The 23,104-nt window shown below is 40.0% G+C and overlaps 1 protein-coding gene across 5 annotated transcripts in view, besides 2 other annotated features; it reads left to right on the plus strand.

The window, feature by feature from the left end:
- Window positions 1-21,961, plus strand: part of CD86 (CD86 molecule) — a 65,775-nt gene extending 43,814 nt beyond the window's left edge. For 3 of the 5 annotated variants that reach the window (NM_175862.5, NM_001206925.2, NM_006889.5), the window contains 5 exons: window positions 4,337-4,672; window positions 7,023-7,325; window positions 10,090-10,233; window positions 18,873-18,918; window positions 20,263-21,961. In NM_175862.5, coding sequence (NP_787058.5) covers window positions 4,337-4,672; window positions 7,023-7,325; window positions 10,090-10,233; window positions 18,873-18,918; window positions 20,263-20,359 — 926 coding nt within the window. In that variant the 3' untranslated portion in view covers window positions 20,360-21,961. The remainder of the gene's footprint in view (window positions 1-4,336; window positions 4,673-7,022; window positions 7,326-10,089; window positions 10,234-18,872; window positions 18,919-20,262) is intronic. The other 2 variants (NM_001206924.2, NM_176892.2) reach the window with 2 other exon arrangements.
- Window positions 1,885-2,074: an enhancer, noted in NCBI's record as "active region_20364". NCBI's record gives its function as "activates an Ori minimal core promoter by ATAC-STARR-seq in GM12878 lymphoblastoid cells {active_cell/tissue: GM12878}" and the evidence as "EXISTENCE:reporter gene assay evidence [ECO:0000049][PMID:35858748]".
- Window positions 5,117-5,186: a silencer, noted in NCBI's record as "silent region_14639". NCBI's record gives its function as "represses an Ori minimal core promoter by ATAC-STARR-seq in GM12878 lymphoblastoid cells {active_cell/tissue: GM12878}" and the evidence as "EXISTENCE:reporter gene assay evidence [ECO:0000049][PMID:35858748]".

Consider the following 23,104-nt stretch of genomic DNA (forward strand, 5'->3'; position numbering starts at 1 on the left):
GAAATCAGAGATTGGGAAAGAATAGAGCATTTCAATGAGGAGAGATGCCAACACTTGCATTTGACACAGCGGTCAAATGAGTTGAGATCTGAAAAGAGCTCAAGCCTTGGCCATGGTGTGAAGTCACCAACAACCTTTGTCAGGGAGTTTCAGTAGAGAGGTGGGGGTGGGAGGCTGGGAATAAAGGCAGCAATTGCTGCTTACTCTTTCAGGGAGTTTGACTCCAAGGGAAAGAGAAACTAAAAGCAGTAGCACAAGGTTTGTGTTTGAAGTAATGGAGGTGAACCAGGTGAATAGCCTGGAGGCCGAGTGAAGTGAGACAGGACACTGCAGATTTGGAATGTCACCAGTCCGCACAACTGAATAATTTCCTCCAGAACTGCTCAATTGCCCAGTTGTAAGAACAGATATGTAGACCAAAAGTAGAGTGTCCCCAGGGTAAATTTTATAGAGACAAAGGGGTGTGTTTATTGAAGTTGTGGAAAGGAATAATTACAAAGACATACTATTGTTGCATTGTCCAATATAATAACCACTAGCCATATGTGACTACTTAAATTTCAATTAATTAAAATTAAATAAGATTAAAAATTCATCTTCTCAGTCATACTAGCTATGTATCAATTGCTCAATAGCCACAGGGGCTGGTGGCTATCATATTGTTCAGCACAGAGACAGAGCATTTCCATTATCACTAAGAGTTCTTGTGGAAAACACTGCACTACAGGGTCTGGATAAAGCTGAGGTCTTGATTAAGTTGAACAACAGTTGTAGAAGGAGTAAGCAAGAGCAAAACCTGGATGAATAGGAGGTTGTGGACGGAGATTAGTATATTGAGATTAAGATTCTAGGGACTGAGCTGCTCCAGGTGAAAAGTTTCAGGGTTATGTCATAAGAAGGTGGGGGGCAGCTGCTGAAATAGTCTGCGGGTGTAGACCTGTGGAGTTGACAAGATCAAAGAAATTTGAGGCAAGGTTGTTAGACTCATTCATGAAGAAGTCACCCAAATTGTTAGCAAGACCTTGCATCTAATGCCAAAATCCTCATTTAGCAAGGTGGTAGTGACTTAGTAGCTACAAGCAATGAGAAAGTCAGACACCTCAAAAGGGGAAGGTGTTGCTCAAAGTCCCCACAAAGTGTGATAAAACAAACAGTAGCTGGGGCTGGAGCAAGTGGCTTCCTTTGGGTGAAGCCAGATTTCACTGAAATAATAACCTCAGGGAAACAGTCAATGAAGGGGTTAAAGATGTGGGAGAGTTTCCTTGTAGTAAGTAATGGAATGAGGCTTTCAAAGGGCCAAGTAAAACTTTGGAGGAAGTTTAGTAAAAGAAGGAATTTTTTTTAGTACAGATAAGCATAGGAACATAAAGAAGAGATAATTCTTAAACATATAAGATATGCATTTGGGGATAGCAGCCAGGGAACACTGAAGTCCCAGTGGGGTCAGAGACTTCATAAGGCTAGCAAATTACAGTTTTTGAGTGGCATTCCAACAGTAGAGTGTATTGCTCAGGAAGTCCTTAATTATCCTTTGAAACAAATTCCTTCAGCTGATTACGAAGGCATCTAGCTGGATTCTTGAGCGACTTGTTCCTGACATCATAGCAACCCATTGTAACTAGACTTCGACCATTCCTCTTACCCAAGTGCTGGGGAAGGGAGAGATTCTCAATGCTTACCCACCTATGGAATCCCAGTAAGTCCAGTTGCTAGGTGGCTTGAGGTCTGGGGTCATAAAATGGAAGGCCTGAAGTCATTTGGTGATCACAGACCTTGAGCCAAACTTTCCCCATTTAGTCAGAGAAAGGATTAGCAGCATCCCCCATGCCTGGCTCTGTGTGAGATCATGGAAGCCAGTGGTTGGTGAGGTGCTATGGAGTATAAATTGCAAAATACTTTCAGTTCCACTCAGAATGGATTTCAAAGTGATTTCCACCCCATGGGGAGGAGAGGGAGTCTGAGGAGGGATGGATGGAAAAAAAATTTTCATGTCATTTTCTGTGATCCACTCTGGAGACAGAGGCAGAGATTCTCTACAACAGCTGCTCAAACTATAGCTCTTGTTAAAATGGAGGTTCTGAATCAGTAAGTCTTGGGTGGGGCCAGAGATTCCGTGTTTCAGACCAGCCCACATGTGACGTGAATCTCATTGGTCCATACATCACACTTTCAGTTGCTAGGTGAAGAAGGGAGCACTCGATGAGTGGAAGAGAAAGCCGTTGTAATCTTTGGGAGAAGGGGCCTGGGTCAGCGGAGTTAGACTGGTCTGTGAGTGGACAGAATGGATGGGAAGGAAAGAAGATACTGTGAGGCTCTACAGAAAAAAAAAAAAAAAAAAATATATATATATATATATATATATATATGTAAATCAAGAAGACAGAAGCAGCTAAAGACGAAGTCATTTCCAGGTCCAGAAGGCACAACTGACAGCTGAGTAATAACATAACATTGACTGTTAATTGGCAGAATTTTTAACTGTGTGTTTGGTTTCTCCATCAGGTCATCTGTCCTATATTACATGACAATTTAGACTAAAACCAGTATTTCCTCAGAGACAATGCTAGAAGCTTTTACAGTAGGGGGCACTCTTGCATTACATTAAGAGCTCAGCAAAGAAGATGCAGAAGCCTCAGGTTTGCCTTGTAAGGTGATTCATAAACACACTAAATCTTCCTTAGGTCTCCCTTTCACTGTCAGGGTACGCATATAGATTTTCCTTCCTCCCTCCAATACCGGTACGCATCCTCTACAGGTGGTGCATTTTATACCTCAAGTACTTCACAGGGTCCTAGTGAGTGTAGTGAAATAGGCAGTGATTCATATTTGTGCAAACTCCCACTGATGCCTGCTGTCTGCTTCCCTAAGAGTTCAAGACCACCACCAACCCCTTGATTATGTGTTCTCACTGGGCCACTCTGTACACAGTTTAGTTTGACAAGTGCATGTCACTGTTATCTGTCCTTCTATTCCCTCTTTCAAGAGAAACCACATCAATTTAATTACTCCCCCACTTAGAACTCTTCAAATGAAGCTCCTCTCATCTCTCTCATCAACCCATCTCCTCCCTTTCCTCCTCAATGTCAACATGCCTTCACATAAATCCTGAATGATGAAATTTTATTTAGAACTTACACTAACTTCCTCTCCAAGGTGGCATCTAACTTCATATTAAGTAAGAAACAGCCTTCCCACTCTCCACCCCCGCACTTCTCACCCACCACTGCTTACTTTTTTTTTTTTTTTTTTTTTTTTTTTGCCAAGTCTCAAGTAATTCTGTAACCTAGAAAAGGTCCTACACAAACCCCGTGATCATTCACATTTAAGTAGTTGGGTGGCCCACATCCTTCCCACAAACCCCAAAGTGTCCTCAAGGACTAAAGCCTTTCTCTCAACCCTTCCAGCATGATGTCTATGGTTGTAAAATTGTCCAGGGTCAGTGCATACTGGGAGCAGCAAGTTTGTGGTGCCTGGGGTTTCCCCAATACTCCCAAAGCACATCCTCACCTGCCCATCTATGATTCATTTTCAGCATTTCACTCATGTGCCTTAAATGGTCATTGACCACCACAATCCGAAAACAGCCATCAAATTTGCCCAGTTCTCTTTCTGATCTCTGAAAGAGCTTAGAGAGGTCACTGAAAATAAAGGCCTTGGTTCACTATCGAAGTCATTTCTAAAGCATTTGACATCCTTGGAAGTGCTGGCCATGGGAGCAGCAGTCATAGGGGAAGTTCTGTAAAGGGAGCTATTTGAATTTCAAAGATGTTACTCAACGTGATTCCCCAACTAATGAAGTATAATAAAGGGGGGCTATAATTTATTACCATTATCAGCAATCTTTTCACCATAGCAGACCAAGGAATATGTGGATGGGAGGGGAGGGGAAAGCTTTTGGTGATGGTGTAGAAGTTATGGAACCTGTAACAGCTACAGTGATGAAAACTAAAATTAAGGTTATAGGAAGGTAACTGGTGGGTGAATGGGTTGTCTAACTCTACTGGTTTTTCCCTGTCTTGCAATTTAAATTCACAGAACCACAGTACTAGAAAGACCCTTGGAACATTTAGTCAACCACTTCATTAATCAGATGAGGAAACTGAGGCTCATAAAGATTGCAGTTTGTACAAGGCCACACATTTAGTCAGCGGTGAAGCAAGGACAAAGGTCCTAATCTCCAGATGCCAAGCAGATGTGCACAGTTCCAGAGCTTAATATCTTATTCTTCAGCATGATTACTGATAAGATAGTATCTGGGTATTGTATAAAGAGAAATGGAGGTTTTTTCCCCTTTCCTCTTGTTTCTCCCTCCCTAATCCTTAACCTTCTTTTTTAGGTGCTGCTCCTCTGAAGATTCAAGCTTATTTCAATGAGACTGCAGACCTGCCATGCCAATTTGCAAACTCTCAAAACCAAAGCCTGAGTGAGCTAGTAGTATTTTGGCAGGACCAGGAAAACTTGGTTCTGAATGAGGTATACTTAGGCAAAGAGAAATTTGACAGTGTTCATTCCAAGTATATGGGCCGCACAAGTTTTGATTCGGACAGTTGGACCCTGAGACTTCACAATCTTCAGATCAAGGACAAGGGCTTGTATCAATGTATCATCCATCACAAAAAGCCCACAGGAATGATTCGCATCCACCAGATGAATTCTGAACTGTCAGTGCTTGGTATGTGGTCAATGGTGTGTGTTCAGATTCTTAGCCTTCTCAGATGAGACTGCAAATGAGTTAGAAAAACACTGGAGGGGGACTTGAGGGGCCCAGGGGAAAAGGGGGGTCTATAGAGAGAAGGCAGAGGACAGCCACTTCTGGGAAGTGCATTTGAAGGGAGTGTAGAGTCTGGGAGTAGGGAACTGAAAGTCTTTTGTACTTTTTATAGTCTGCTTCTGAAGGATCAGTAAAAATCTGCTTTGGGGAAAAAATAGAGCTAATTGAACAAAGATAATATGGCTAATTACCTATAGTAAAAACCATGGATAATTTGGCCATCACAAAGTTTATATAACCATAAAGGCCTCAGATGTCTTACATTCATTTTTTCCTTGGGTCCAAGATTTTTCACCTACTAAATCTTTGCCTGGAGCTCCTAGCAAAGCGGACAGCTGACACATTTGGGTTTTCCCTTCAGCCTCCTCTAGGTTGCTTATGAGTTGTTTGCTGCCACAACCATGAGCCTGGTAGACAGAAGGGAAAAAAACCCAACAAACATAACCCACAAACTTACAAACCAGCTCCTCTGCTTCACGAGACCTTGGAAGGCCTAAATGCCACTACAGATTTTTTTAAAACTATCACACAGTAAAATTATTTTTTTTTGTTTTGATATACTGTTCTACTGATTGTATAGATCTTGTATAGATTTAGGTAACCGCCACAGGACATAGAGCATTTCTATCACCCTAAAAATTTCCCTCAGGCTGTCCCTTCATAGAGTCATACCCTGTCTGCACTCATAACCCTTGTTGGGCATCCTATAGTTTTGTCTTTTTGACAGTGTCACATAAGTGAAGCCACACAGTATGTAACCTTTTAAGCCTGGCTTCTTTCGTTTAGCGCGCCTTCGAGATTCACCCAAGTTGTTGCACATATCGAGCTTGTCCCTTTTTATTGCTGAGTAGCATTTTATTGTTTATCCATTCAACTCAGTAAAAGACATTGGGTTGTTTCTGGTTTGGGGCTCTTATGAATAAGGCTGCTGTAAACGTTCATGTACAGGTTTTTGTGTGAACATAAGTTCTCAGTTCTCTAGAGGAAATACCCAGGTGTGGTATTACTGGATCCAGGTTAATTTTTGATGAAACTTGAAAAGGCAGATCAACACCTATTCTAAAACCATAGAGTAAAACAGAAGCAAAAGTAAAAATAGAATGGAGAGCTGCTCCCTTTGAACCCTGTGTGATTTAAACTAGGCTGCAGGGCTTTAGGAATAGTTAACCAAGTGCTAAATCCGTGTTTTCAAAATGTGGTCAGGTACCATTGGAAATGTTTTAGGTGGGACACAGATAAGCATTTTGAAAAGCCATGTTGTATTTGTTTTAATGTATATTAGAAAAACTCTAACTTACGCAACATGTGATTTCACAGATCTTGTTAATGAAGCTAAACACGGTCTGGCAATTCACCTTCTACAGGCCACATAGACTCCAAGAAGACTGCTCAAATAGTACACTGATATAGCAAAACTTATAAAGATGACATGCAAATGACAGACCTTTTAGTAAGAATACACTAAATTATAAATTAGTTTGTAGAACCTGCAAACTACCTAGTAACTATAAAAGAACAAGGGATTTTTTCTGACAGAAGGCACATGACACAGGTCTAGGGACTCCATGCCAGTGATCCTGAACAGCCAGAAAAGTGAGAATGGCAAAGGCAAGAGAAACACTGTGTTTATTAAGATCATGTATTTTTCCCTAAAATAGCTGGATTTGGCCTTCTTCTTAGAGTATGTTATGAAGACACTTTGATGCTCATGCCAAAAATCAGTGTTCTGAATTTCGAATTCCAAAATATCCACCCACTCACTTACCACAATCCTGCTTGGGTTTCTGAAAGATATGACGCAGGGCATCTCAGCACCATGAACTCTGTCAGTTCCTGGTGAGACTCCAGCTCAATTCCTTCCTGCTCTCTTAGTCTGGGGAGCTGGAATGTGCCCCATGGGACACCTGGGCCCTAGAGTCAGACCACTTCTCCTTCCAAAGACTCTACTCCCTGGAAACAGTGGCTTCATTGTAAATCTTTGGTGACTCAATTACAGCCCTCCTGTCACTTAGAGAGCACCCCTTTGATTTGGATAAGCAGGAAGTAAGCATGGCTGCAAACTCTATTGTTGAAAAATAAACATGAAGTCATTATGTGGCACTCACCTTGGGCTGAGGGTCACATTTTAGACACCCTGAGGCTCCCAGGTGTGCCCCAATGAGCCCCAGATCAAGTACCCAGTTATTTGCTATTCCCTCCTAGATACATCTAAACTTAGATTGATTTTTTTTTATCTCTCTTCTGCTTTCAGCTAACTTCAGTCAACCTGAAATAGTACCAATTTCTAATATAACAGAAAATGTGTACATAAATTTGACCTGCTCATCTATACACGGTTACCCAGAACCTAAGAAGATGAGTGTTTTGCTAAGAACCAAGAATTCAACTATCGAGTATGATGGTGTTATGCAGAAATCTCAAGATAATGTCACAGAACTGTACGACGTTTCCATCAGCTTGTCTGTTTCATTCCCTGATGTTACGAGCAATATGACCATCTTCTGTATTCTGGAAACTGACAAGACGCGGCTTTTATCTTCACCTTTCTCTATAGGTAAAGCTGTTTTCCAAGACTATTTCTTTCAGCAGGTATTATACACAAATGCTTAAGGCAGATCATCCAATGTCCCCGACTTGCTAGGAAACCTCCAACTGGGCCATTTTATGACGCTGTTAGGAAGGACCCAGATGGAGGTCTCCTGCTTCTCCTGAGTGATGCAGGGTCCAGGAGGCTACGAGCCTATGTTGCACTTGAAGAAATATGCTTTTAGCCCTGAAACTGACTCAGTCTCTTGGTTTACCTTTGGATGGAGGATTCTGAAGTTTTGATTTAAAAATACAGGATTCCTCCAGGCTAGAATTCTTTCTTTGATTACAACACATACATGCGCTTGCACACACACACACACACACACACACACACACCATGCATACATGCAGACATACAAATGATATTTATTGTGAGTATAGAACCATTTGGGACATTATTGGTCACAGGAGTGAAAACAAAAAGATATGACACCCCCTCTGCCCTTGAGGACCTTCCAATAGAATCAGAACCCTGTAATGTGCACACATGAAAAACTGGATTTTTAAAAGGTTGAATTGGAATCTAAATTTTATTCCATGGAAATATCTGACTAAATTTAAAATAAAAGTGACTGGTAATGAGATTTATGGGCATTCAGAGGTAGGCAAGATCCCTGAGGGTCAGGGAATGGTTCCTAAAGGAAGGGGTACCTTGTAACATGTAAAATAAATTATTGGGGTTAATAAATGTGGTGAGGAGGGGAGGGCATTCTGGATGACAGGTTCCCAAAACTGTGGTGACTTCCGTAGCTGAAAAAATTTGAGACAGTATCTGGGCTAAGCAGGTGAGAGGACCACAGTGGATCAGCTGTATCTGACGTAAGTGCAGGAGGTATGTCAAAGAAAGCCTTGGAGGCAGAAATGCTTGTGTGTTCACAAGTATTCTTCAGGGACAAGTTCAGTGGAGGAAAGGATTGAAACTAAGCAGTAGCCACTAATAGGAGCCTGACATTTTAAAGTCCTGGCTTTACCCAGGAGGGCATGTGTCTATATTTGACTCCTCTTTTAAGAAGCTGTAACTGCAAGATTCCCTCCTGGAATAAAGGTGGTCTGCATCTACCCTGTCCCATCACTGCCTGTGCTGACCTTGACACCCACATCTGCCTTCTTCTTACCTTGACCCCTTCTCCAGCGGTGATTTCTTGGCTTGCCCCCTCCAGTGACATCCATCCAACTCCTTGCTCCATACCCTGGCTTTGTCACCTCCTTTCTCCCAGTGTCTTGTTGTTCAGATATAACTTGGTCTGTGAACAGCCCACGGGGCCAGTCCCCATGAACCAACTTTACAACTGGGCCAATCTCATCTCCTGCTACTGACTTCTTCCTATTCAGACACTTCAGCCTCTGAGAATCCAGTAAATGGTGGAGCCAACTCGTCCTGTCCCAGTTGCTTCTCCTGTATCCTCTCTTGGCCAGATAGAAGCCTCTCCAAGCTATGCCTGAAGTTCAGTACCTCCTTCAATGTGTAATTAGTTTGATTGGTGGCCACAAGATGGCCATATATGACATGCCCCAGGGCCCTCTGTTACGGCTCCCATAGTCTACAAATTAACAGGGGCTTGCCACCACTATAACCTCATCATGGCTCACCTTCCTGCTGCTTCTCAACTACTGTTCTGCCAAACTTCAACAGGTACCCCCATCTTCAGAAATGTTTCAGCTCTAGCTGCCTCAGGAAGATGGGGCTTGCCTCTCTGGGTTTCCCATTCTATCGCTTGATCAGAGATAGGTTAGACCCTGAGTCAAGGGGCCTTTTTTGCATGTTAAAAGGTAGCAGCCTCCACGTTAGTAAGTATAACCCCTAACCCCCTTTACTGGGAGTGCCAAACTGGCTCAAGTGGAATAGACTGGGACAGACTCAAAAGGGATTAAATATGGCCTGCAATGCCAACAACTTCTTAACATCCCAGAAACAGGGCATGTGTCTACAAATTATAGCTAAGCTAATAGATCAGCTGGTCCTAATTTTCCTGAAATTTGGGATTAGCTACCAGAACTGTTCCCAAAAATGTCTTTAAAGTGGGCGACTCCGTTCTAAGTTTTCCCCACAAAGCCTGTTTTCCAACTCCCCAGAAACTTAGGAGTTCTCATGTAAGGAAGTAGTTCCTGAAGGCGTGAAGGTTCCTCAAGGCATGAAGAAACATCAAAGGTTTTTCAGTAGATGAGATATGCTGAAAGCCATGCAGAGGAAACCTGCTGTGACCTCAGTAGGAAAAAACTAAACAAACAAGCAAATGAAAACTAGAGGTAGGGGCCTGTGGAAGCTGTTCCATTTGTCCAAGTGAGAGGTGTCTGGAGATTATAGTGGACAGAAGAATCATCACGAGAGGAACTTCAGGGCCTGGGAACTGACTGCAGAGGGGGGCAGGATAGCAGGCACGGCACAAATGACTGCACGTGCAGAGCCTCAGCACAGACACCTCACCCAGATTCCAGAATCACGGGCCAGGCTGACCCTCTTCTTCCTGATCATGGTCGGTGTTATCCCCACCTCCATGAAGGCATGGCAGCTCAGTCCAGGCATTTGGCCAGAGGCATGGGCTCGATTCTTAGGTCGCTGCTGAGGCCCTGAGCCTGGGACTTTCTATGGCCTCCTATTGTGGATTTCAGGCTTCTCTGGCCTTAGAGCCCTGGGGAGAGGCTGGCAGGTAAATAAAGAGAAGAGCAGCTAGCAGAAACCTTTTGTAAATGACTCTCCTGGCTGATTGAAAATTTGTGGTCATTTGTAGAGCTTGAGGACCCTCAGCCTCCCCCAGACCACATTCCTTGGATTACAGCTGTACTTCCAACAGTTATTATATGTGTGATGGTTTTCTGTCTAATTCTATGGAAATGGAAGAAGAAGAAGCGGCCTCGCAACTCTTATAAATGTGGTGAGTGAGTCCTTGTCCTCCCCACAGACTGTCACTTTGCACCTACTTCCCAATCGGCTGGCTGCCTTCCGGAGCTTGTTGGCTGAGCCTAGACTGGCAAAAAGTCAGGAAGTTGTTGGGAAAAAAGGTTTTCCCTTGGAGTTTTGAGCCTATACAGACTGGCAGTAGCAGATAATGCTGCTCTTGGACTTCAAAGAAAGGCGACATTTCTAACCTCTGGTTTACAAATGTACTTCTGGTTTCCAGGGAAAACTGATTATTACTTGCTTTATCTACCTCACTTCATGAGGTTACTGTGACATATACATAAAGTAAAATGGTGAAACCACTCCTAAATGTTAAAGATTGTGGACCTGGTGGTGTTTAAGCAGGGATATTTGCTAAATGACCACAAGAATCAGCTTCTCGTCTCTAAAAAAATCTAGGTTTCTTATGAAATAAGTTAGATGAATTATTGCCCATTGACTTATAACAAACAATATTAACTTTAACTAATTTCTAAGTAATACATATCCATTATCATATATACCAAAAATAAAATAATCTATAACTCCACTAATAAGAAAAAATGATTACACAAATATTTTTGGTGCCTATCTTTAAGATTTTTCTGTGTATCAATCTATGTTGTTTTCCATAATTAGGATTATCATAAGGGTTATTTTTCACAATTTGGATAATATATGTACTGTGTTCTAATTTTGTTATACTAAATGTAGCAAGACAATTTTCAATGTCATAAATATCATTCTACAGCATCATTTTTAATGGCTGCAAGATATTCCCTTTTGTGGATACACCATAATTTATTTATTTAACCAACCTCATTTTTTGGACACTTGAGTTAGTCCAATAGTTTTGTTATTATAAACACCCTCCCCACTGACTTCTGTTATAAAAATGTTTCATGGGGACAAAGTGGTCCCTAACTTTATAATAATGCCATGCCTTTTTGTAGTTTGGTCTGGTTCTAAGCTAAGATTGGACTTTATCTCAGTAATTGCCTCCAGTAGTAATTAGTTTGATTGGTGCTAATAATTAAGGTAACCTTCTAACTCACTTATGGTAGAAAGCACAAGATGAGTATTGCCTCTGGCCAGCATCTTGTTTTTCAGTATACTGATTTTAAAATCTAACTAGAAAATAGATGGATGACATTAGCAGTCATTCAATGCATCCTGCTGTACTTTAAAAATAAGAAATTGGGGAGCAACGATCGAATTTAAATAAATTAACACAAAGCATGTGGCAGAGCCATTCAAACTGCCAATGTATGGAGTGTGCTGCGAGATTTCTATGATATAAAAGTATAAAATTCCTAGCACAGATGTAAAGACATATCATGCTTGTCCAGGCTTTGACTTTTCAAGGTGAGAGTTTTGAGCTTCACTTTCTTTCAACCTCATTGCCATTTAAAATTAGTCAAATATGAAGAAGTGACTTACATCTTGGGAATAAGCTGTTTGCTAGATTTTTCTTCACATTAGAATGATCAGCTTACAAATGAAACAAAGAAGGGTTGGAGAAAAAGATTAAGGATGTTTCTTCCTCCATGAGGCAATCAGAAAAAAATCAGGAGACTAGATAGGGGAGATAAAGAGGATATGTGTGTTCACATGAGAGAAGTTAGAAGGTGGTTAAATAAGCTCTGTAGGTACAGATGAGATGGTCAGATTGGGCTGAGTGGCACATACATGACCCCTAAGAATGTAATGAAGAATATTGGTAAGAAAAAGTTATTTATTCAGACAGTCATCCATGCCACTGAGTTTGATCAAAGAGAGAAGCCTTGCTATCACTGTAGGGAGGGAGGTGCAACAGGTATAACTATGCCATTATAGATATGATATATTTGTAAATTTGGATTCTGTAACTTCAGCAATATCTGCCATTGCTTTGTGGGTACTCCTGGCATTGGCTATGTGATAGGTAAAATAATGCCCCCCACAAGACGTCCACCTCCTATACTCCAGAACCTGTAATATGTTATCTTACATGGCAAAAGGAACTTCACATAGGTGATTAAGGCACCAAGCTTGAGATGGTGAGATTAACCTGGATTATCCAGGTGGGCCCAATGTAATCACATGAGTCAGAGAACCTTTCCTAGCTGGGATGGAGAAATGAACTGGAAGAAGGAGAGATCTGAAACTTGAGAAGCTCAACCCAGCATTTCTAGCTTTGAAGATGGAAGGAGGAAGCCATGAGCCAAGGAATGTAAGTAGCTTCTAGAAGCTGGAAGTGGCTCTCAGTTGACAGCCAGCCATTAAGGAAATTAGGATCTCAGTTCTGCAACTATAAGGAGCTGAATTCTGCCAAGAGACCAATGTGGAAACAGCAGATCCCTCCACAGAGACACAAGCTTACTGATAACTGGTAGGAATTTCTCCAAAAGTGGAGCTTCCTCCTACTCCAGTGTTAATCCCTTTCTCAGAGGAGACGGTCCTCAAACTAACTAACTTGGCACCAAAAGTCCTATCCAGTGTTTTCTCATTATAGTTTTTCTATGCCTCAACTGTATATATTTACCCAGTTTAGGCTGTTTAAATGAATAAAAAGGAAATGCCATAGTTATTCTAGCCAGTTTCCAATCTCTCTTCTCTTTTTTTGTTTTGTCAAATAGGGCAGATAAGGCATGAGAATTTATAACTATGAATTACTGTCTTTTCCCAAACAGAAATCACCCTATCAGCTTACCCATTGGGAGAAAAACTAAAATAGCTCCCCCTGAAATTTTACTTCCTCATTTGGGTCTTGTGTGACTGAAATCTGTATACAATGCCCTAGCAACAACGGTTTTTACAGCTTGCCTCCCTAGAACAAACCTAGGAGTCTCAGCTGTTTCAGGAATGATTTCTTAAAGGTAAAGTGCCTTTTTCAAAAGAAATTATTATTATTTTTTTTTAATTTTTTTTTTGTGTGTGTGTGAGACAGAGCCTCACTCTGTCACCAGGCTGGAGTGCAGTGGCACGATCTCAGCACACTGCAACCTCTGCCTCCCAGGTTCAAGCGATTCTCCTGCCTCAGCCTCCCAAGTAGCTGGGACTACAGGCACGTGCCACCAAGCCCAGGTAATTTTTGTATTTTCAGTAGAGATGGGTTTTCACCATGTTGGCCAGGATGGTCTCGATCTCTTGACCTCGTGATCCGTTTTTAACCAACATTTAAACAGAAATATTCACAGGCTTAAAGACTGAAAGTTAGTGATATCATCACATTTCCCCTTCAAAATGCTGAATTTGTAAGCAAATTTAAAAGTTTAGAATCTACCTTTTAATTGTCTGCTTTCATTTTTTTGACAGTGGCTTTTTTTGATATGGTGACTATTTTGTCATGGGTATAAAAGGATAATTCATTTTGTGTTAATCTGAAGACATCTGAAATACTGTATTCAACTATAAGTACCTTTTTTTACATTTATAAGATTCTTTTTCAAAATTTTTATTTGAATAGTTTTTTGGGAACTACTGAACTAAACTAGGTGGTTTTTGGTTACATGGATAAGTTATTTAGTGGTGATTTCTGAGACTTTGGTGCCACCTGTCACTCGAGCAGTGTACACTGCACCAGTGTGTAGTCTTTTATCTCTCACCCCTCCCACTCTTTCCTCTGAGTCCCCAAAGTCCATTATATTATTCTTATGTCTTTGCATCCTCATAGTTTAGCTCCCACTTATCAGTGAAAACATACAATATTTGTTTCTCCATTCTTGAGTTACTTCACTTAGAATAATGGTCTCTGGTTCCATCAAAGTTGCTGCAAATGCCATTATTTTGTTTCTTTTTATGGCTGAGTAATATTCCATGAGGGATATTTACCACATTTTCCTTATCCACTCATGGGTTGATGGACATTTAGGTTGGTTCCTTATTTTTGGAATTGCAAATTGTGCTGCTATAAACATGCGTGTGCATGTGTCTTTTTCATATAATGAATTATTTTCCTTTGGGTATATACCCAGTAGTAGGATTGCTGAATTAAATAGTAGAGTTCTACTTTTAGTTCTTTAAGGAATCTCCATACTGTTTTCCATAGTGTTTGTACTAGTTTACATTCCCACCAGCAGTGTAAACATGTTCCCTTTTCACCACATCCATGCCAACATCTATTATTTTTTGATTTTTTAATAATGGCCATTCTTGCAGGAGTAAGGTGGTATCTCATGGTGGTTTTAATTTGCATTTCCCTGATAGTTAGTGATATTGAACTTTTTTTCATGTTTGTTGGCCATTTGTATATTTTCTTTTCAGAATTGTCTATTCATGTCCTTATAAACACCATTATTTTTAAGAAGAAACTTTACAAAAATAGAACATAACCAGATTTATAAAGCATCTGGGAACTCAGTCAATTAAGAAATAGCTCAAGTAACTGATGATGCTTCACCTGAAAGAAGGCCTGGAGAGAACAGAGATACTGTCTTCAAATATCTGAAGAGCTACCATGGGATGCAAAGATTGAGCTTGATGGTATGACTCTGAAGGGCATCTCTATGAATGAAGGTTATGAGAGGGTATAAGGAATTAAGAGAGACTTTTCTAACAATTAAAAGGTCTTTTAGGCCAGGGGTGGTGGCTCACACCTGTAATCCCAGCACTTTTGGAGGCTGAGGCAGGCAGATCACCTTAGATCAGGAGTTCGAGACCCGCCTGGCCAACATGGTGAAACCCCATTTCTACTAAACATACAAAAATTAGCTGGGTGTGGTGGCAGGCACCTGTAATCCCAGCTACTTGGGAGGCTGAGAGAGGAGAATCGCTTGAACCTGGGAGGCAGAGGTTGCAGTGAGCCAAGATCACACCACTGCACTCCAGCCTGGGTGACAGAAGATCAAGATTCCGTCTTAAAAAATATAAATAAATAAATAAATAAATAAATAGTCTTTAAAATTGTATAGAAGAAGTAGACTTCTGCTTCCTCCAACAAAGGATTAACTGCTATAGGAATTGCCCTCTTTCCATAAACAACTAGAAAGCAGACAAAATATATGAAACAACTGTTTTCAGAGATCGGATGACAGACAGCAGAAAACTGTAGTCCCTGAGTGAAGGAAAGAAAAAATGAGATAAGCCCTATGATTGCTCTAGTTTGCTGCCTGGAGCCAGTGTCCAGGCCCCTCTGAAGGCAGGGGAGCCCTGATACTGAACTAGGAAAAGACATTGCAAGAAAAGAAAACTACAAACATCTCTCGTGAAATGCTTAACAAAATTAGCAACTAAAATCTAGCAATATGTTAAAAGTATAATACATCATGATCAAGTGGGGTTTATTCAAGAAACACAGGTAAGCTCAACATTCAAAAATCAGGCAATAACCTTTACTACATAAATAAACTAAAAAGAAAAAAACATATGATCATGTCAATGGATACAGGAAAAACTTTTGACAAAATTAATACCCATTCATAGTTTTAAATGGAAAGAAAAGCTCTCATAAAAATAGGAATACAAGATGACTTCCTCAACCTGACAAAGGACATCTACCAAAAATTCTTCTGTTAGCATAATATTTCATGATAGAAGACTGATTGCTTTTACCTTAAGATGGCGAATGTGGGGAGGATGTCTACTCTCTCTACTTTTGTTCCACATTGTACTGGAGGTCATAGCCAGAGAAACAAGACTAGAAAAAGAAATAAAAGACATACAGATTGGAAAGGAAGTAAAACTGTCTTTTTTCACAGATAATGATCATGCTTGTAGAAAATCCTGAGGAATCTATCAAAAACCTATTAAAACTGATAAGTGAGTGTAGCAAAGACACAGGATACAAAGTCAATACACAAAATCAATTATTTCTATATACTAACAAAAGCAATTGTACATTGAAAAAAATTAATAGCATTTATAATAGCATCAAATAATATTAAAAACTTGGAAATAAATTTAACAAAACAAGTACAAGGTCTATATACTGAAAACTATACAATATTACTACTGGAGAAATTAAAGTAAACCAAAATAAATGGAGACATAGGCCATGTTTATGAATCAGAAGACTAGATGTTAAGATAACCATTCTCTCCAAGTTGATCTATGGATTAAATGTAATCACAATCAAAATCCTGGTAAGCTCTCTAATAGATACTAAAAATCTTACTCGAAAAGTTATAGGGAAATGCAAAGAATCTACAATTGCCAAAACAATTCTGAAAAATAAGAACAAAGGTTAAAAATACAAAATTAGCCAGGCATGGTGGCGCATGCCTGTAATCCCAGCTACTCTGGAGGCTGAGGCAGGAGAATTGCTTGAACCCGGGAGGCAGAGGTTGCTGTGAGCTGAGATCGTGCCATTGCACTCCAGCCTGGGCAACAAGAGTGAAACTCCCTCTCAAAAAAAAAAAAAAAAAAAAAAAAAAAGAACAAAGGTGGACTTAACCTACCTAATTTCAATATTTACTATATATAGTAATTAATACAGTGTGATATTGGTAAAAGGACAGACATATCAGTCAATGGAACAAAATAGAGAGTCAAAAATAGATTCACACTGTTGACAAAGCTACCAAGGTAATTCCATGCAGAAAGGATAGTATTTTCAACAAATAGTGTTGGGACAATTAGATATCCACATGGAAAAAGTATGAACCTAGACACACACAAAGTAACTTATATATTAAGAATTAAAATGAAAGGACTTCCAAAAGAAAACAGAGGAGAAAATCTTTGTAACCTTAAGTTAGGCAAGTCTTCTTAGATAGGACACAGAAAGCAAAAACCATATCATAAAAAGATAAAATGGATGTCATCAATATGGAAAACTTTTGTTCTTTGACTTTGTTTAAAAAACGAAAAGTCAAACCACAGACAGGGAGAAAACGTTTGCAAAATATATATCTGATAAAGGACTTGTATCCAGTATATAATTACATATTGCTACTCATTAGTAAGAAGACAATCCATTTAATAAAAGGCAAGAAGAAGAGACTTGAACAGATACATAACAGAAGAAGATATACAGATGGCCGATGAGCACAGTCACAACATCATTAGTCATCAGGGAAGTACAAATTAAAACGATAATGAGATACCACTGCACACCCTCTAGAATGGCTAAAATTAAAAGGTCTGATAAACATCAAGTGTTGGAGAGGATATGAAGCAACTGAAACTCTCATATACTGCTATACAACCCAGAAATCCTAGACATTTACCAAACAGAAATTTTAAAAAATTTAAAAATATATAAAGACTCATACACAAATGTTCATAGCAGCTTGCTTCATAATACCAAACCTGGCATTCTAAATTTTCATCAGTTGGCGGTGGTATATTTATACAATGAAATACTGCAAAGCTATAGAAAGGAATGGACTACTAATAATACACAAGAACATAGATAAATTTCAAAAGCATTATGCTAAGTGAAACAATCCAGGCACAAGAAGAATACACATTATACAATTTCATGTATATGAAATTTGAGAAAAAGCAAAACTATTTTAAGTAGATTCATGGTTATCCATGGGATGGGGGAAAGGAATCAGCTGAAAAGCGAACTATTTTGGCTTATAAAAATGTTCTCGATCTTGATTGTGGTGGTGGTTACGTGACTATATATATTCGTTAAAATCACCAAACTCTAAACTGAAAATGATTGGGTTTTATTATTTATTAATTATACCTCCATAAAGCTGATTGTTTTTATCTTTTATTTTTATTTTATTTCAATAGTTTTTGGGGAACAGATGGTTTTCGGTTACATGGATGAGTTCTTTAGTGGTGATTTCTGAGATTTTGATGCACCTGTCACCCGAGCAATGTCCACTGTACCCAATGTGTAGTCTTTTATCCTTCATCCACCTCTCTCTCACTCTTCCCCCCAAGTACCCAAGTCCATTATATCATTCTTATGACTTTGTGGCCTCATAAAAGCTGATTGTTTTTAAATACACACATACACACATAAAAGAGAACTTCCAGTGACAGGAAGTGTTCAAGAATGCTCTATTTAGTAAAGACAGAATCACAAAACCATCAGAGGTATTGTTGAGTGGATTCTTGTGGTCTATAAATACCTCCATGGACACCCAGGTTAGCAACCTGTTGGAGTTTACGTGGGACAATAGCATCATCACAACAGTCAGCCTAGAGAAATTTACATCCCAAGTTGTGTCAGTAGCAAGTCCCTATCAATAGCAACTCAGGCTTTGTGAGGTCTAGCTGGCTAGAAATTTCCCACTTGGCCTTGCCCATGCAACATTGTGTAATATTCTTAGCACCATCTGGCTAGCCGATTTAGGCATCAACATCTTCAAGACTTCTTCTCCTCCTCCTTATAAACCTTGCTTTCAGAAAAGGATTAGAAACTCTTCCAATCACAAAATGATTGCTAAAACTAAATATATTACCCCTCCCAATGGTATTTTTTGGTTAGCCAGGATAGAGATATAAGTGAAAAATCTATTTCCAGTGTTAGAATTTAAGGCACAGTGAGAAAGGGAAGGCATATACTTTTTGAATGCAAGAAACTTCTTCCCAATCCCCCTGAAATTGCATCATTTGAGTAACTATCTCTTCCATATATAAAGTCACAACAATTTCTCTCTCAGTCCCAGAACTTTGAAGCCTTTTCAAACTTTCCTTCTTTTGGTATCTAGGAGGAATACATTTTTGAAGATTGTTCTTGGTGTCTTTCAGGAACCAACACAATGGAGAGGGAAGAGAGTGAACAGACCAAGAAAAGGTAAATCCTGACCCTGAGACATTGATGAGAGAGAGGTATAATCCCCAGAGTGCCTGTTACTTGAATAGGCTTATGCCTAACATATGTTGAGACCTCAGCAAACCTGAACTAATGGAGAGGGAGAGGAAAATAAAACTAGTTAAGAACTGGAAGAAAATAACCTGATAATGGATGACAGGGTATCCAATGCACAATGCCCAGAAAGCATGACAAGCTCTGTCATGGTCAAGTAAAAGTCAATACCAAAGACTTCAGAGGTGGTGAACATGGGCTTCATCTTATCTGCCACAGTAACCCCAGTACCTGGCACAGTGCCTAGATTAGTGGGCATCCTACATGTGTGGAATGAATAAATGAAGAAGTGGGGAATGATAACATGTTTGCTTCAGCCTGAGCATCTTAGTATTTGCTATGGCCCTGTTTAGATGTTCTTCTGCCACTTCTTTACCTCATTCTTCAGATCTTGCCTCAAGCAGCACTTTCTTAAAAACCCTTTCCCAAACTAGAAAATGTCAACTTGTTACAGTGTCATGTGGATCCCTTGGCTTTTTCTTAATAACACCAGATTATGCTTACATATTTGTGTAATTATCTTATTAAACTCTATAAACTAGACTTAACTAAATCCTATGAAGAGCAGAGACCATACCAGTTAAGCTCATCATTGTGCTGCTAGCACTTAGCATGGTGCCTGGCATATAGCAGGTTCTCAATAAATGTTGAAAGAATGATTGATGCATGATGAATACATAAAAGTTCGTGGTGATCAGTCCTTTCACAACGTGAAGCTATCAGATAGTCTGTACCTCTATCCCTCCTGAGAAATTAAGCTCTCAGGAATATCAAGGCTCTGACTGCATACCCATAGGATCAAAGCAACCCTCAGTCACAAGCCTGGTTTCAGAGATAGGGTCATAACCCCCAGGGTGCAGAGACAACCGAGAGTACCCAGCACTAATCCAGATATACCAGCCACTGTGATTCTAGCAACAAAACTAATAATTCCGGGCACCCTTGGACAATGAGAAAGGGTGCTGAAATCCTGCCTACCCTGTCACACTCAGTTTCAGAAATGGTCTGGAAGAGCCTGCAGAGGGCAGGCAGCAGAGAACCGGCAGAGGGCATGGGAAGGGCCAGGCAGAAATAAAGGGTAGCTCTTGAAGCATAGATGACAGTGTAGACCGTGGTTCTTTTCTCTTGCTTTCTCCACCTTTCTCTTCAATAGTTTGTTTCTCCTCATTGCTGTTCCAATGGCAACCTCTATTCTGCCCTATCATTGAAATCTAGAAAAAGAAAGTAGCTCAAATGTGAAATATCACCTAATCTTTTCTTCTATTTCTCCAGAGAAAAAATCCATATACCTGAAAGATCTGATGAAGCCCAGCGTGTTTTTAAAAGTTCGAAGACATCTTCATGCGACAAAAGTGATACATGTTTTTAATTAAAGAGTAAAGCCCATACAAGTATTCATTTTTTCTACCCTTTCCTTTGTAAGTTCCTGGGCAACCTTTTTGATTTCTTCCAGAAGGCAAAAAGACATTACCATGAGTAATAAGGGGGCTCCAGGACTCCCTCTAAGTGGAATAGCCTCCCTGTAACTCCAGCTCTGCTCCGTATGCCAAGAGGAGACTTTAATTCTCTTACTGCTTCTTTTCACTTCAGAGCACACTTATGGGCCAAGCCCAGCTTAATGGCTCATGACCTGGAAATAAAATTTAGGACCAATACCTCCTCCAGATCAGATTCTTCTCTTAATTTCATAGATTGTGTTTTTTTTTTAAATAGACCTCTCAATTTCTGGAAAACTGCCTTTTATCTGCCCAGAATTCTAAGCTGGTGCCCCACTGAATTTTGTGTGTACCTGTGACTAAACAACTACCTCCTCAGTCTGGGTGGGACTTATGTATTTATGACCTTATAGTGTTAATATCTTGAAACATAGAGATCTATGTACTGTAATAGTGTGATTACTATGCTCTAGAGAAAAGTCTACCCCTGCTAAGGAGTTCTCATCCCTCTGTCAGGGTCAGTAAGGAAAACGGTGGCCTAGGGTACAGGCAACAATGAGCAGACCAACCTAAATTTGGGGAAATTAGGAGAGGCAGAGATAGAACCTGGAGCCACTTCTATCTGGGCTGTTGCTAATATTGAGGAGGCTTGCCCCACCCAACAAGCCATAGTGGAGAGAACTGAATAAACAGGAAAATGCCAGAGCTTGTGAACCCTGTTTCTCTTGAAGAACTGACTAGTGAGATGGCCTGGGGAAGCTGTGAAAGAACCAAAAGAGATCACAATACTCAAAAGAGAGAGAGAGAGAAAAAAGAGAGATCTTGATCCACAGAAATACATGAAATGTCTGGTCTGTCCACCCCATCAACAAGTCTTGAAACAAGCAACAGATGGATAGTCTGTCCAAATGGACATAAGACAGACAGCAGTTTCCCTGGTGGTCAGGGAGGGGTTTTGGTGATACCCAAGTTATTGGGATGTCATCTTCCTGGAAGCAGAGCTGGGGAGGGAGAGCCATCACCTTGATAATGGGATGAATGGAAGGAGGCTTAGGACTTTCCACTCCTGGCTGAGAGAGGAAGAGCTGCAACGGAATTAGGAAGACCAAGACACAGATCACCCGGGGCTTACTTAGCCTACAGATGTCCTACGGGAACGTGGGCTGGCCCAGCATAGGGCTAGCAAATTTGAGTTGGATGATTGTTTTTGCTCAAGGCAACCAGAGGAAACTTGCATACAGAGACAGATATACTGGGAGAAATGACTTTGAAAACCTGGCTCTAAGGTGGGATCACTAAGGGATGGGGCAGTCTCTGCCCAAACATAAAGAGAACTCTGGGGAGCCTGAGCCACAAAAATGTTCCTTTATTTTATGTAAACCCTCAAGGGTTATAGACTGCCATGCTAGACAAGCTTGTCCATGTAATATTCCCATGTTTTTACCCTGCCCCTGCCTTGATTAGACTCCTAGCACCTGGCTAGTTTCTAACATGTTTTGTGCAGCACAGTTTTTAATAAATGCTTGTTACATTCATTTAAAAGTCTACATTTTCTGCTTTGGCTTCAAGAGTACTACTCAACCCTTGTGGTCTGATGTTCCCTGCTCTGTCCTCTGAATGTACTTCCTTTCTCTTTACATCTCTATGGCTAGAAGCCTCTCACGCATCCTGTATCTTCTCCTCCTCCCTTTTCCCTACCATTATTTGAGAAAGGAGGCTTGTATACTTCTATATGTTTATCTCAGTAATAAGTCATAAAAAATCAAGTAAGAATGGTTGTTTTTGAGGACAACTAAGAAATCTGGAATAAGGAAGGGAAGCTTACTTTTGAGTTTGTAACCTGTAGTGTGTAATTTTTTAATTATGTACTTACATGTACATTAAACAAAAGCTTAATGTAAAAATATTCCTTGAAAACACCATGATTATAAAATAAATGCATATATACACATACAGCATGTGAGAGGAGCCAGGAAAACTCTGGAAAAAAGAAAATTACCTAGACTCTGTGAGGGCAGGAATGTGTTTAATTTCTCTCCAATGGATCCTCAGACAACTAAGATAGTTGTCTATTCTATTGTCCATCTTTTTGTCTTTTGTTGTATTTCTTAAAGATTCCCTCAACTTTATCTTCTAACTTCTGTTGTATTTTTATTTCTGCTATCATGTATTCTTTTCAGAATTCTTTTTTGTTCTCTCAAAACATATCTGTTTAAAGATTGAATGAAATATTAACATGCCCTTTGGTGAGAACATCCCTCCTTTGTATATTAAATTCTCTGAACTGCTGTATTCTAAGACTAGGGGAAAGAAAAAGAAGGTTGAAAGAGGTCATTAGGCAGAATAGTACTAGCTAACATTATTTCACATTTACCATATACCCGTCACTCATCTAAACCTTTAAACTCATTATCCTATTTAATCCTCACAATGACCCTGTGACGTAGGTAATGGAATATTATGCCCATTATGCTGATGAGAAAATATAAACACAGAGATAAGTCAGAGTAATTTACCCAACATTGTTAACTTTGTAAGTGGCAGAGCTTTGTAACAGGCAGAGGTTGGAACAGTTTGGAGGGCTCAGAAGAAGACAGGAAGATGTAGGAAAGTTTGGAACTTCCCAGAGCCTTGTTGAATGGCTTTGACCAAAATGCTGATAGTAATATGGACAATGA

This window comes from Homo sapiens, chromosome 3 (genome assembly GCF_000001405.40).
Source record: "Homo sapiens chromosome 3, GRCh38.p14 Primary Assembly".
Lineage (NCBI taxonomy): Eukaryota > Metazoa > Chordata > Mammalia > Primates > Hominidae > Homo > Homo sapiens.